At 40.5% G+C, this 16,034-nt stretch overlaps 1 long non-coding RNA gene and 1 pseudogene across 2 annotated transcripts in view; one reads left to right on the forward strand and one right to left on the reverse strand.

The window, feature by feature from the left end:
* Nucleotides 1–16,034, forward strand: part of CBSLR (CBS mRNA stabilizing lncRNA) — a 58,849-nt gene that overhangs the window by 2,432 nt on the left and 40,383 nt on the right. The gene's annotated exons all lie outside the window — the stretch shown is intronic.
* Nucleotides 3,963–15,156, reverse strand: GS1-279B7.1 (microtubule associated protein 1 light chain 3 beta pseudogene; annotated as a pseudogene). Its single transcript, NR_038424.1, has 4 exons — nt 15,078–15,156; nt 14,383–14,504; nt 13,137–13,419; nt 3,963–4,145 (listed from the first exon to the last, which is right to left on the reverse strand). The product of NR_038424.1 is annotated as a microtubule associated protein 1 light chain 3 beta pseudogene (transcript).

Consider the following 16,034-nt stretch of genomic DNA (forward strand, 5'->3'; position numbering starts at 1 on the left):
CGCCCAGCCTGTTCTATTTTATTATTATTGTTGTTAATATCTTACTGTGCCTAATTTATAAGTGAAACTTTATCATAGGTATGTATGTATAGGAAAAAACATAGTGCATTTAGAGTTCAATACTAAGGTTTCAGGCATCCACTGAGTGTCTTGGAACACATCCACCAGGCATAAGGGGGTGGGGGTGACTACTATACTTAGGTAAGATTTATTTGGAGAGTGCTTAATAAAAATTATGAATTTCTTGCATACCTATTTTGTGTCAGGTCCTGAGAAAGATAATCAGGAATTGGTGTCAATCTGCCATCTTTTCTTTATTCACCCTGATCCTGCTTCAGATGTTGTCTCCATCCTTAACTGACTTGTGTTTTGTTTATTCTTGATGTATTAGTTTGCTAGGGCTGCCATAACAGACTGAATGGCTTAAACAACAGAAAGTTGTCAAGCATGATGGCTTGCACCTATAAGCCCAGCTACTGGTGGTGGGGAGAGGATCACTTGAGCCCAGGAGTTCAAGACTGCAGTGAGCTATGATCGTGCCACTGCATTCAGACAACAGAGTAAGACCTTGTTTCTAAAAAAACAAAAACAAAAACCCTCCAGAAATTTGTCTTACAGTTCGGAAGGCTAGAAGTCTGAGATCAAGGTATTGTCAGGGCCCTATTCCCTCTGAAGGCTCTAGGCCACTCTCCTAACTTCTGGTAGTTCCTTGGCTTGTCAACATAACTCCAGTTTTCACATGTTCTCCCTGTCTGGGTATCTGTTGTTCAGATTTCCCCTTTTTCTGTGGACACCAGGGTTAATTGAATTAGGGGCCCACCCTACTCCAGTATGACATCATTTTAACTAAACCTGCAACTACTGTGTTTCCAAATAAGGTCATATTTTGAGATACTGGGGGTTAGGACTTTAACATACAAATGTTGAGGGAACACAGCTCAACTCATAAAACCTTAGTTCATTTTTTAAGTGTGGTCCACTGAACACATTCTTTGGAATCACCTGTGTATTCTTCCTAGAAATGCAGGTCCTTATGTGTCCACAATTGGGGGGTTCTTGGTCTCACTGACTTCAAGAATGAAGCCATGGACCCTAGCGGTGAGTGTTACAGTTCTTAAAGGCAGCGTGTCCGGAGTTTGTTCCTTCTGACGTTCAGACTTGTTCGGAGTTTCTTCCTTCTGGTGCATTCATGGTCTCATTGGCTTCAGGAGTGAAGCTGCAGACCTTCGCGGTGAGTGTTACAGCTCTTAAAGGCAGTGTGGACCCAAAGAGTGAGCAGCAGCAAGATTTATTACAATGAGTGAAAGAACAAAACCTCCACAGGATCAAAGGGGACCCCAGCGGGTTGCCACTGCTGGCTGGGCAGCCTGCTTTTATTCTCTTGTCTGGCCCCACCCACATCCTGCTGATTGGTCCATTTTACAGAGAGCCGATTGGTCCATTTTACAAAGAGCTGATTGGTCCGTTTTGACAGGATGCTGATTGGTGCGTTTACAATCCCTGATCTAGACACAAAAGTTCTCCACGTCACCACTAGATTAGCTAGATACAGAGTGTCCACACAAAGGTTCTCCAAGTCCCCACCAGAGTAGCCAGATACAGAGTGTCCATTGGTGCATTCACAAACCCTGAGCTAGACACAGGGTACTGATTGGTGTATTTACAAACCTTGAGCTAGATACAGAGTGCCCATTGGTGTATTTACAATCCCTTGGCTAGACATAAAGGTTCTCTAAGTCCCCACCAGACTCAGGAGCCCAGCTGGCTTCACCCAGTGGATCCTGCACAGGGGCACAGGTGGAGCTGCTTGTCAGTCCCACCCCGTTCACCCGCACTCCTCAGCCCTTGGGTGGTCGATGGGACTGGGCGCCGTGGAGCAGGGGGCGGCGCTCGTGGGGGAGGCTCGGGCTGCTCAGGAGCCCACGGTTGGGCGGCGGAGGCTCAGGCATGGCGGGCTGCAGTTCCCGAGCCCTGCCCCGCGGGGATGCAGCTAAGGCCCAGCGAGAAGTCGAGCACAGCAGCTGCTGGCCCAGGTGCTAAGCCCCTCACTGCCCAGGGCCGGCAGGGATGGCGGGGCGGCTGGCTGCTCTGAGTGCGGGACACGCCGAACCCATGCCCACCCGGAACTCGCGCTGGCCCTCAAGCGCCATGGGCAGCCCTGGTTCCCACCCGCGTCTCTCCCTCCACACCTCCCCGCAAGCTGAGGGAGCTGGCTCTGGCCTTGGCCAGCCCAGAAAGAGGCTCCCACAGTGCAACCGCGGGCTGAAGGGCTCCTCAAGTGCCGCCAAAGTGGGAGCCCAGGCAGAGGAGGCACTGAGAGCGAGCGAGGGCTGTGAGGACTGCCAGCATGCTGTCACCTCTCACTTAGGCTTTACCCTAGACTAATGATTTTCAAAGGAAGAGAGTGGTTTTCCCCTGGGGAATATTTGGCAATCCCTGGAAACATGACTGGGGGAGACGTACTACAGGTATCTAGTGGACCTGGAATGCTGTTGAACATCCTACAAAGCACAGGACACTGTCCCACAGCAAAAAATGATTCCACCTGAAATGTCAGTCGTGCCAAGATTGAGAAACCCTGTCCTAAAATTGGTAAGTCTAGTCTCTAGGAAAGTGGCCTGGAAACCTACATTCTGACAAACACCATAGCATCTTGTACCTCTACTAAAGCCTGAAAACCACTGCAAACGCAAAAGCATTTTCTAGGCGTATGAACATGCTCCATTTCTCCTCGGATATTAGTTATCTCTCTTATTTATTAACCATGCTAATTATGATAAGCTGATTTTATTCAATACTGCTACTTAGCAATTCAGTTTACCAGTCATAGTCTTAATTTAAGTTGGAATCTTATTTACATTTTAAAACTTCTGTGCCACATTACATTATTTTTGATCAACTGTCTGCATTTTCTGGGTGTCATTTGCCTAATGAAAAGCTGTTGCCAATTTGTGACTTGGCAAAAAAGCAATGCTTTGCCTGCCTCCTCCAGTCTGCTAGCTTCTCCTGTACTCTAAGTGACTGACTCTTCTGTCGTATATTTCTTTCATCCCTTGCAGTCAGTGCTACTGTTCTCAATTTCTTTCTCTTCTTTCCTTTTGGCACTTGAAAATATTGTTCGGGTATATTAATGGTGTCTTAAGAGCCAAAACAAGAAAATGGTAGTGTCATAAAAGTCACAAGAAGCCTAGGGAAAAATCTTGAAACGCCCATACTTACTTCCACTAAAGTAGGTCATTGGAAATTGTGTTACAATGTATAATAAATTGAGAACTTGATGCCTCTGTAAAAAAAAAAAAAAAAAGGCTTTTAAAATTAGTATTCCCTTTCAGAGAAAATCTTCCATTTTCCAGATAAGGCTTCCATAAATACCTCATCAGAATAAGGCAAACTGTGATTATTACAAAAAAAAATAAAATTCAAGGATTTGGGCAAGGTGGTGCCTGCCTGTGTAACCCCAGCTACTAGGGATGCTGAGGCAGGAGGATCTCTTGAGCCCAGGAATTCAAGACCAGCCTGGGCAACATAGTGAGTGAGACCCCCTTTCTAAAAAATAAAAAATCCAAGGGTTATAATTCTCCAAATACATGCCTCAGAATACTTCGGTCTTGAATTATTCCTGTCGGCTATTACATTATCCAAGCAAACTTTTACTAATAACTTTTTGCTAGTTTTCTAAAGTAATTACTGTTAAAGTTTTTGAGAACAATTCTAGCCTCCTCATCCAACAACCAGGATTCCCTAATAGTTGCTCTTTCTTTCAACAGTTTCTTAGGAATTAAAACTTCTTATGTCATTCAAGCATGTATCCTGTAACACTGTATAACCTTCAAGCCTGCTCCATCTTTGGAAATGTCATATTCAGCTGTGAACTCTGATGTATAGCCTAGGCTTCAATCAAAAAACCTTATTTTTTAATCAACTTGATTGCTGAGAATGAGCAAGGCATGGAATAAGCAGCCTTTATACTAAGCTGAGTTTTTAATGTAATCACTAAATTAAATGTATAAACAAAAGTGTGGTAACATATAGCACAATCTATACAATTCAGAAAGAGATCTTTTGTTGTGATCGCATTCAAAACTGGATACCTGGTGAATGAAAGTTACCCAATATAATTCAGTTGGACTCTTCAGGAAGTAGTGCTGCAGGAAATAAAAACAAAAAGAATAATAATTCAATTGGACTAGCTAGCCAACTGTTGCCTGTGTAAACTGATCACTCAACATGAAGTCAAGAGACTACTTCAATGAAAAAAACCAGAAAGAACAGAGCTGTTGGGTTGTAAACATGAGTTCTCCTTTCTTGTATTCTTATTGTCTAAAGATGAGCAGAGTAAAGTACAAGGAGAAAATGATGTTTTGCAAGAGTTGAGTGAACTGGACTTTCTTTTTTTTTTTTTTTGAGACAGGGTCTCATTCCAGTCACCTAGGCTAGAGTGCAGTGGCACAATCACAGTTCACTGCAGCCTTGACTTCCCTGTAGCTGGGACTACAGGCGCGTGCCACCATCCCCTGCTAAGTTTTGTATTTTTTCTAGAGACAGGGTTCTGCCATGTTGCCCTTGAACTCCTGAGCTCAAGCAATCTACACACCTTGGCCTGTCAAAGTGCCTGGATTATAGGCGTGAGCCAGGGCACCCGGCCTGAATTAGACTTTCTAACTATGAAAGAAAGTCACAAAGCTGTTAGCTAGAGGTTCCTGCCCCTTGAAAATAATTCCTCCCTGCTGTACTACTCCAAAATCGGTGCCATTGGGGAACGAATTATTGAATGAAATGTTTTCTTTCTCAACCATCTCCAATATCTTACTAAAAAGAAAAATGTGAAAGGAAAACTATTGTGGCAAGATATTCTACCAACAGGCCTTATTGGGTCACTATGCCTGAGTCACCCTTGTCCCACAATAGCACTTCTCTGTTCTCAATACCTTGCTCCTGTCCTTTTAGACCCAGTTAGTACCTTTTCATTTCCAAGAAGTGGGCTGGTATAATTGAAAGAATGCTAGACTTGAGGCCTAGTCTCAAATCTTGGCTCTGTTACTCAACTACCTAAGTCAGATCTCTTGTCTTCTTGGTGATTGTTTTCTAATATTTAAAATGGGAGCAATAAAACTTATCTCACAGAAATAAAGTTGGTGCAAATGTTTACTTCTAATGGCCAAAACTGCAATTACTTTTGCACCAACCTATATATGTACTTGACATATAGTGTTATGAGTATTTGTTTACTTATTTATTTTAAGGCTTCCTCCAATTACTCCAGCATATATAGCTTTTCTTCCAAATCTACGAACCCTGACATATCATTAGTAACATTTATTTGATACTTAATCCAACGCAGGGTACTTTTATACTTACAAATTTAAGAATTAAGTGAGGCTGGGTGCAGTGGTACACGCCTGTAATCCCAGCATTTTGGGAGGCCAAGATGGGAGGATCATGAGGTCAGGAGATCGAGACCATCCTGGCTAACACGGTGAAACCCCGTCTCTACCAAAAATACAAAAATTAGCTGGGCATGGTGGCACATTCTTATAGCCCCAGCTACTTGGGAGGCTGAGGCAGGAGAATCATTTGAACCCGGGAAGCAGAGGTTGCAGTGAGCCGAGATCATGCCACTGCACTCCAGCCTGGGCTACAGAGGGGAAAAAAAAAAAAAAGAATTAAGTGATTACGATCTTTGAGTACATGGAAGCAGTCCAGACTCCTAAGTGGGCTGTGCCTCTGACCTCAGAAGTGTTGAATGAATTCATGTCCTAATCATCTGTGCCTCTTGTAGCTCTCTCTGTTAATAGGAAACTACTGTGGGAATGGAAAGGGAAACGTATTTTGCTTTGTGGTCTGTGGGGATAAAGACCATGGTTCATTTTGCATCTAGCTGTAATTTCTATCCCAGTGTTTTTGCACATAATTTTTGTCTTCTAAAAAAATAGATGAATTGAACTTTTAGAAGTGATTTTCTTTTTAATTTTTTTTTTTTTTTGAGACAGAGTCTCGCTCTTTCACCATGCTGGAGTGCAGTGGCGTGATCTCGGCTCACTGCAACCTCTGCCTCCCAGGTTCAAGCTATTCTCCTGCCTCAACCTCCCGAGTAGCTGGGACTACAGGCACCTGCCACCACGCCCAGCTAATTTTTGTATTTTTAGTAGAGACAGGGTTTCCCCATGTTGGCCAGGATGGTCTCGATCCCCTGACCTCGTGATCCACCCGCTTTGGCCTCCCAAAGTGCTGGGATTATAGGCGTCCACCACCGTGCCCAGCCTAGAAGTGATTTTCTTTATGTCAATTGAATAGGAAATTTCCTTTTCTGCAAAGAACTAATATTTTCTTTGCTTTTAAGAGGATCCTGTAAATTTTAAAATGCTTTCTTCAAGAACTTATAGTGTCTTAAATGATTTAAGATCTACTGAATCATACAACTTTTATTAGTTTTACTCTATCTGGAATGAATTTATGGATGTCCAATTTGCATGTTAAATATAAATGAAAGAGAAATATCTTTTAGTTTATATACATTTTTTAAAGGTACCAGATTGTCTACTGGGAAATTGGCTTCATTAATTGACCACATTGTCACTACTGTATATAGAAATTTCTAGATAATCTCTTATTGGTCTCACCAAGTTTAAAGCATGATGCCCCCTCACCCAATGGAATAGTAATGTAGACATGCCTTAGGGTCTATATCAGAAAAGCCAGTTACATATAGGTTAAGAAAATCTTCAAAGATATCAAAGAACCATGGTCATTTCTTTGCCATACTATACCACTTTATACTTAAAGTGGTATAAAGAATGAAATTCAAGTTATTGAAAGGTTAGGCAAGTCAGAATGAATTGAAAGCTTTTTAGAATATTTGTTTTACAAACAAAAGGGTATAGTGCTTCCTATGTTACTTCCAAATGAGCTGATAGGCTTAGAAAAAGTGTCTTGAATTCAAGTTACCATTTTAGACCATGAGGTGACACACCAAGGATGATCCGAGAAGTGCCATAGAACAAATCTAGCTCCCAGTGACCTTTAAGCTGCCATACATGCTCTGGACTCCCAAACTCTAGACTTCCTCTATGTGAAAAGGAAACAAACTTTGATTTGTTTAAGTCAAAAATGGAAATGGAAATAGCCAATTTAGTGATCTCTGTCACTTTTTAAAAGTATCCTTTTTGTATCCTATTCTTTCTGTTCAATTTATTTCATTTTATAATACAGTAGCTGTTTGTATTTCCTTGAGTCCACACCGTGCATTTGAAACTAGCAAATTGCAAACATAGGTTCAGTGCTAAAGACTGGTTACTCATTCTATCAAGTTTGCAGTAAGTTGTTTGTAGGTGACTCTGATTAAAAGTCAAGACCACATGCAAAGTCTACAATCTCAAATTTTGAACTTTGCAATTTAGAAGGTTAAGCCCTACCCCACCTCTCTCTTATCTGACCGTTAATCTAGTGCCACATCATTTTTACTCTCCCAAATGGCATATTGGCCTACTTGATGGGCTATAGCAAATATTTACTGAGTGTCTGTTTTGTGTAAAGCATTGTGCTGAATACCGTGAAGTTTACAGATGTGTTGTGAAGTTTTGGATTTTTTAGAAAGTAACCAGTTTATTGAATAGGGTAGAATCTGTGGGGTACAAATGGGGAGTGGGTTTATTTTTTTCTGATCTTCAAACATTCGCTGATAACTCTTTCATTCTTGCCTTTTAGATAAACCTTAAGATCCCAAAAACTTTTAGTCCTTTTGGATATTTAAGGTTTATTTTCAGATAGTAAAAGTAAAACAAATACAGTTAGGTCTAAATCAAGACTTTAATCTCACATCTAATTCAAAGTTTTCCCTGGCTTCCCTTACTTCCCAAGGCTCAGGAACCCACAGTGGGCATGGGGAGTGTGATCTTTTTCTGACTTTTACTTTACTCTTTACCACATGGTAGTAAATGGCAACTCCATTTTAATCTGTCTTCTTAATTCCTGCCACTTTCTTTGCTGCTCATTTCTTTCCAGTTCCAGTGTCTTTCTTTCCATCCCAGAATATATTAACCATTTTCCAAGAACCTTTGGATTTACTCTTCTTTCTGCTTAAAGCTTTTCCCTCCAGCTAGCGTGGCTTGCTCCCTCACTTTTAAGCCTCTGCTCAAATGTCACTTTATCAGCAAGCCCTTCCCTAACTACCCCGTCTCAGGTGGTACATGCCCACAACCATCATTTCCTTATTCTGCTTTATTTTTCTCATCTCACCATCTGATACATTATACTTCTGTTGGGAAGCTAGGTGTCTGTTTCACCTTCTGCAGGTGCCTTCCGTCTTTATGAGGGAGGTTGGGAGATAATACACTGTATTAGTCTGTTTTCATATAGCCATAAAGAACTGCCCAAGTCTGGGTAATTTATAAAGGAAAGAGGTTTCATTGACTCATGGTTCAGCATGGCTCGGGAGGCCTCAGGAAGCTTTCAATCATGGGAGAAGGTGAAGAAGAAGCAAGGCACTTTCTTCACAAGGTGGCAGGAAGGAGAAGTGTCGAGTGAATCAGGAAGAGCCCCTTACGAAACCATCAGATCTTGTGAGAACTCACTATCACAAGAACAGCATGGGGGAATCCGCCCCCATGATTCTGTTGCCCCAACCTAGTCTCTCCCTTGACATGTGGGGATTATGGGAATTACAAGTCAAGATGAGATTTGGGTGGGGACAAAAAGCCTAACCATATCTCCCTTCTCCCCTCTATGAGAAGGGGTGAAAAAAGGCCAACACATTCTTTACTCTTTTGAATTCCTGTTCTCATTGACTTTGGCATATAGAATCTGGAGGTAAGAGTTTTATAAATACTAGACTGATCTGGCTTTTTATACTAAGTGGCATGGATGTGTCAGACACTTCTCTTTAAAATATGGGGATAGTTGTCTCTTATTTTCAGCTTTGAGACTTAGGCTAAAATATAAACAAAACAAAACTTCATACAGCATGCTGTTAAATAAGAACCTTCTCACAAATAAAGCTAGCATGCTTTAATTGTCACAAAGAGAACACTTGAATTTGAGATAACCATGATGATGTGACAGATGGCTCCATGAATTCAGGATGTCTAATTTTTAAGAACTAGGATCTGAGGTATTTACACATCTGAAAAGCAATATAAAATTTGTTATGCAGTTACCATGGTGGAAATTTATTTTTTCTGGCTGTCTAGCATTCACTCCTCCTTCTGGGACTACAACCCTTTAGCCACAGTGAATGTTCATTAATGGATATGTGACCAAAATTGATCCAAGTAGAATGAATCCTTGCATATTGACTGGACAGGAATCTGGGAGATATATGCCTGGTGTTGCTGGGGCCGTCACTTGGAGAGAAGCTGCCTTTGAGTAAAGAGGAAAGGGGTTGTAAGATGAAGAGAGGCCAAGGCCAAGGTACGGTGACATTGGGCCTGGATCCAGTCATGAAGTCAATGCTTAGACTTATACTTACATACGTCAATTAACTTCCTTTTTTTTTTTTTTTTAAGCCAGGTGACTTGGCTTTTCATCACTTGTAACCCAATAGTCCTGGCTTTTGTAATGCATCCCACTTCTCAACTTAAACCGTTGCCTGTGGTGCATTGTCGTCAGAACTGCTATGTTCTTGGCATATTTTCTCAAGATGGATTTATTCCAGTGAGTGCTGATAACTGAAAGAATTTATTAATGTCCCATTCTGGGATCCTCCTGGCTACTGAGAACAATAAAAAATATAGTTAATTGTTTTGACAAATTCACCAATGTTATGTTTGGATGCATAGTTATGTTTGTGATTCTGAATTTTACTGTTCTATAGATGTGGCTAAAGAAATCTTCTTATTCCTTTTACATAGCAATCCAAAATAGCAGGTTTGGCTAGGCACAGTGGCTCACACCTGTAATACTAGCACTTTGGGAGGCTGAGGTTGGTGGATCATTTGAGGTCAGGAGTTTGAGACCAGCCTGACCAACATAGTGAAACCCCGTCTCCACTAAAAATATAAAAAAAATTAGCTGGGCATGGTGACACATGCCTGTAGTCCCAGCTACTCGGGAGGCAGAGGCAGAAGAATCACTTGAACCCGGGAGATGGAGGTTGGAGTGAGCCAAGATCACGCAACTGCACTTCAGCCCGGGCAACAGAACGAGACTCTGTCTCAAAAAAAAAGCAGGTTTGCATTATTTATTTATTTATTTATTTAGAGACAGGGCCTGGCTCTGTTACCCAGGCTGGGGTGCAGTGGCAGAATCTTGGCTCACTGCATCCTCTACCACCCGGGCTCAAACCATCTTCCACCTCAGCCTCCTGAGTAGCTGGGATCACAGGTGCACACCACCATGCCCAGCTAATTTTTGTATTTTTTTTAGAGATGGGGTTTCAGCATGTTGCCCAGGCTGGTTTCCAACTCATGAACTCAAGTGATCCACCTGCCTTGGCCTCCCAAACTGCTGGGATTACGTGCCTAAGCCACTGTGCCCAGCCTACATTATTTTTAGTAATCATTTTCACTAGTCTTTATAAAGTATGTGACTATCTTTATTAATGTTTTATGTTCTGATATATGTTATATACCTAACTATAAAGGTAATAAAAATGTTTTCTTCTACAGAACCCAAAGTCCTTCAACATTAAAAAGAATGTGTTCCTCCTAGTGCCTGAAACATAGTTCTCTAATAAAAAGAGTTCTAAAGTAATAGTCCAGTCAAAAGTGGTTTACGTCTTTGAGAATTCTTAGCAATGCTACTATTGGGAGAATTTTCTGGGAGAAGTCTGAAATTATCACTAATACTGTGACTTTATACATCCACCAAAGTTCTGACATTTTTTTTTTGACAGTTGTGCCTTTAGTCACTCTATTTCATTAAAAATATACTTGTTTTAAAGATCCTATAAATGACTATCTGCTTATGTGGGATATAGGTCACCTCTCAACGTAGTATTTTTTTTTCAAGCAGTATTTCTTATAGGAGTCTTATTGATCACTAGTAGTTACAAGAATGTCAGATGTGATGACATATACAATCCAAACCAGACAGGCTGATTAAGAATTTACATAATGTCGGCTGGGCGCAGTGGCTCATACCTGTAATCCCAGCACTTTGGGAGGCCGACGTGGGCAGATCACCTAAGGTAGGGAGTTTGAGACCCGCCTGACTAACACAGAGAAACCTTGTCTCTACTGAAAATACAAAATTAGCCGGGTGTGGTGGTGCATGCCTGTAATCCCAGCTACTCGGGTGGCTGAGGCAGGAGAATTGCTTGAACCCGGAGGCAGAGGTTGCGGTGAGCCGAGATTGCGCCATTGCACTCCAGCCTGGGCAACAAGAGCGAAACGCCATCTCAAAACAACAATAACAAAAACAACAACAAAAAACTTACATAATGTAAAAGTATAGTCCATTTCAAAAGTGAGACATGTGGACAGACACCTGCAGCGAGGAGAGTAGGTGATGGGAATCCCTTTAATGATCAGTTGAGGGTTCATGTACAGTTATGTTGCTTTTCCCTGTTCCATTAAAGAAAATAACTTTCACTAACAGATACAGGTATTCCATACATATTCAGTAGACAGAGTAAATTATGACCTGCTACATGTATAACCTAAAGTGGTATAACTGCGATCTTTCTGTGATACTCCCATGAAAATAGTAAATAGCGAACCCCATGTAGGCAGTGGGAAGCACTGGTAGCTTATTCTAGTTTGAGCCTGGAAGATGTTTAACTCTTGACATTAATATTTGTAAAGAGCATGTTTCCTTTTGCTATGTTTTCCTCACAACTGACCTGCACTTAGAGTGGGGGATTTAAAAAAAAATTTTTATTTCCATAGTTTTTTGGGGAAACAGATGATATTTGGTTACATGAGTAAGTTTTCAGTGGTGATTTGTGAGATTCTAGTGCACCCATCACCCGAGCAGTATACATCGAACCCAATTTGTAGTCTTTTATCAGAGTGGGATAATTTTGATAGTTGTTTGACCTAACAGTCATGACTGAACTACTTTTTACTAATACATTTTAGTCACATACTTAACACAAAATGTGGGTCATCTATAACTGTGCTAAGAGGTAGAAAGGAATGCATCTAAATTTTAATGATTTTAGTTTTCATTTTCTATAGTTTCTAATATTATCCTAAAGAATGAAAGAGATACAACTGCTTCTTCATTTACCAAAGCAGGCAGTAGTTTGAGCTCTTAGATTAGAGAAAATACAAAACAAGAAATTCCCCTCTTTTTCTGTAGGGCCTTTAAAGAAACTAGACCAAATTTATAAATTATTCAAAGTTCCTATACAGTAGTGGTGTTTTTCTGTGTAACTAATTGTCTAAAGAACAAACCAAATAAGAACTTTCTAACACTGCAAGAGCATTGCCTTTTGGTATATTTCTATTAGGAATTAGGAATCTTTAACAGCAGTTCACAGTCAGTCTCATTTTCTTATATGCCCCCATTTTCCCTGCTTTGTGCCAAGTCTTATGGCAAATGTATTTTGGAGGGGGTTGCTGGACTATTTATGCTTAGAGATCTTCTTAAGCAGATTTCTCTAGTTAGGTAAGAATCCTTCTGATAAAACGTGGCAGGTTCTATGAACCTAAAGAGAAGACTCATTGTCTCTCTGAATGCCTTTAAGTTACTGCTCCAATTGCAAGTGCCTATTTGGGGGGCAGGGGGCTGGGGAAAGGAGCATTAAAAGAACTTGAAGAATTATTTCACTGGCAACATCAAATGCAAAGTATTTTATTTTTGAACTTCTAAAATTTGAAAACAAGATAGCCTAGGATAAATAATATAGTTTTCTAAAATTGAATTTGCTCATTCAGAGCTCAGTTTTTCTGCTTTAAATGCAAATGCAACTTTCTAAACTCCTAGGTGGGAACACTGCTGTTTTGATGATCTGTGATTAGATGAACTGATCAATCTCAATTGGTAACATCCCCTTGTTATCCTTCCCCCCCTCCCCCCGACTCTGGGAATGATTTAAACATTCTGGAATAGATGCATTTTGTGTGTGTGTGTTTCTAGTCTTATAATGACAGCTTCACTCCAAATGTCTCCCTAGAGGTATATACTATCACATACAGGAATTCGTCTTCATCCTTCTCACTTTCATACACTTCATAAATCAGCATGGAAATACTCACCAAGCTGTCTCTGCTCACCACTAGGAAGAGGGCTTGATTACTATCGAGCTTTAAGGGCCTTCTAATTATCTTGACGAGTTTACTCATGTTGACCTGATCAGGTACAAAATTACTTGGTTTTTCCAGGACAGGAAGCTGCTTTTCACGCCTGTGTCATTCTTTTGTCACTGGGATTTTGGTAGGATGCTGCTGTCAGATAAGTGGGACCCCCACTCTTTGTTCGAAGGAGTGACACTGCTTGAAGGTCTTCTCCAATCTCATGCCACGCAAGGCTGGACAAGGGCTATGGCCAAGCAGAGGGTCCTGTTTAATTCCTTAAGCAAATATTGATTACATGCTTATCATACACCAGGTACTGTGGTAAGGTTTTGTCCTATGGGGTCGAAGTTAGATATTGAAATATATGTCTATAATCACTGTGATATGCTGAGGGAAGAAAGATTCCAAATGCTATTGGAGCCTGGAAGAAGGGCAGGTGAGCCAGTGATCAGGGAAGATTCCAGAGAAGGTGGGATTTGACCTGAGACTGAAAGATGGGTATGAGTTTACCTGGTGGATAGGGGAAGGCATTTTAGAAAGCATGTGCAAAATAGAAACAGTATATTTGAGGACTCCTAAATAGAGTATGATGGACAGGGGGTAAGAAGAAAGCAGGTTGGATGCCAAAGAAAGAGAGGTGAAGCTGGCACAGTAGTGCATGCCTGTAATCCCAGCTACTCAGGAGGCTGAGACAGGAAAATTGCTTGAGCCCAGGAGTTCCAGATCAGCCTGGGAGACATAGCAAGACCCTGTCTCTTAAAAAAAAAAAAAAAAAAAAAAAAAGAAAGAAAGAAGAAGATGAACAGGGAAGGAAAAGGGTGCCTTGCTTGCAACTGTTATTCCTTAGAATTTGGATTGTCTTTTTATTATTATTAGTTTTATTTTTTAGAATCAGGCAACAACCCATTCTATGAAATAGAAAGGGCAGTCCCAGCATTTGGATTGTCTTAAAGGCAATGAGAAACTCATTAATCTAGGGAGGAATATTCTCATATTTGCTTCTTTTTTTTTTTTTAAGCCTTTGTGGATGGTTTTCTTAAAGAGAAGGCTGTTGACTTCTCCATATCCACAAGGGAGAGAGTAAGAGGGAAAAGATAACATGCAGGGAATGAATTGTTGCAAGAGAGAGTTCGATTAGACAAAGTAAGAACTTGACCCTGTGGGGATTAGACAGAGGTCATGAAGGGAATTGGTAGCCTTTTCAGACCTGAGGATGTTTTATAAAGGGTGGTCATCGTCTTTCACATTGTAAGTTTCGTTTCTGGTTGAGGCAAGAGGTTGGATATATTCAGACTTCCTACAGCGTGTTCTTTAGAAGAGTCATTCCATCTGTTAACAGATAACAGAAAACAAAGTTTCAGTGCTCCCCAGAAGTTTGGCTTAGGCACAACTGAATAGGCCTATCTATTTACTGCAGTATTTTTTAAAACAACATTTAATATGATAATGCAAACTATGAATATTTCAGTGAAACATTGGATTCAGGGTCCCCAAACTTGATTACAGGATCCCTTTTATATAGGGAACTTGTGGTCTTCTGTTCTAAGGAGCACTCTTGGTAAAATACTGAACCAGATACATTTGATTCTGTTACAAACTCTAAGAATCTTCCTTAGGTTCTGAAATCCTAAAAAAAATAAGATTTGGACTTATTTTTCCATAATGCTTATTCATCATGGAATTATGCTCATTCATTCAATATCTGCCTATCTGGGGCATAGATAAGCTCTCAAGTCTGTTGATATTTAATAATAACTATGCAGTGACTATTTCTCAGAGTTCTGAAGGGTGGATAAGTCAGATAAAATATGAACAGATATGATGTCCACCTTAAACTCAAATCAAACTAAAATCCTAAGGGCCAACTTAGTAGAAATTTTGGGAAATAGCAGGTCTACTCACTCCAAAGAATGAAAGGAAAAGAGGGAATAGATAAACCGTCCCTTATCTCCACACCTGAAGATATTTCTTGGTACATGTCAAAACTCAGGAGGTTAGAATTCTAACGTGTATTCAAAGAGAGGTGGAACTTTGGAGTCATCTAAAGAATGTTGCCATTGGGAATGTAACATTTAAGTGCCAGGAATAAGATTTGGGATCCTCAACAAACTCTAAGGCCAGTGCAGTGGCACATGCCTGTAATCCCAATTATTTGGGATGCTGAGGCAGGAGGATTGCTTGAGCCCAGGAGTTCAAGGTAAAATAGTGAGCCCTCATCTTCAAAAAAAAAAAAAAAAAAAAAACCCCAAATACAAAAAACTCTCAAGAACTAGATTTTTTAGTGATTAAATCTAATCCTGGGGTTGAAAATAGATTTTTTCTTTCTTTTCTTCTGTGCATATGCTTACCCAAGCAAATAGATTTTAATTGAGATATTTAGATGTCAATTCTAATTAGTTGTCAGTGTTGCCTGGAGTATTAGGACGAGAAGAGTTGAGACTGAACCTCAACTGAATCCATGAAACAAATGTGGCAATTGATGAGCAATATCTGCCTTATCTGGGGGAAATGTGTGAAGCTCCCCATCCTTGTAGTTTCCATCCCCTTTCTAAGTTATACTTGGAAGTATGTTAAGTTGTAAAGGGTGCTGTGAGCTGGATTGGATCAGAAACAAAAATTTGAGAAATAGAATGATTCACAAGATTTTGTCAAATTGTGCAGAATGTATGTAACCCTATAGGTCTAGAAGAAACTGGTGTACAAGGGAGCCAAGTAACGTTGATTTAGATTAGAAGTGTGAACTTTGCAGAAATGTGGTACAACCCGGGACCCCATAGAAAGGAGTCCTTGACAAAGAAGTCTACAAATATCTTTTAGCACATGAAGTGTACGTCTTCAAATTTTGTATAGTGTCTGTAT

This window comes from Homo sapiens, chromosome 1 (genome assembly GCF_000001405.40).
Source record: "Homo sapiens chromosome 1, GRCh38.p14 Primary Assembly".
NCBI classification, from domain to species: domain Eukaryota; kingdom Metazoa; phylum Chordata; class Mammalia; order Primates; family Hominidae; genus Homo; species Homo sapiens.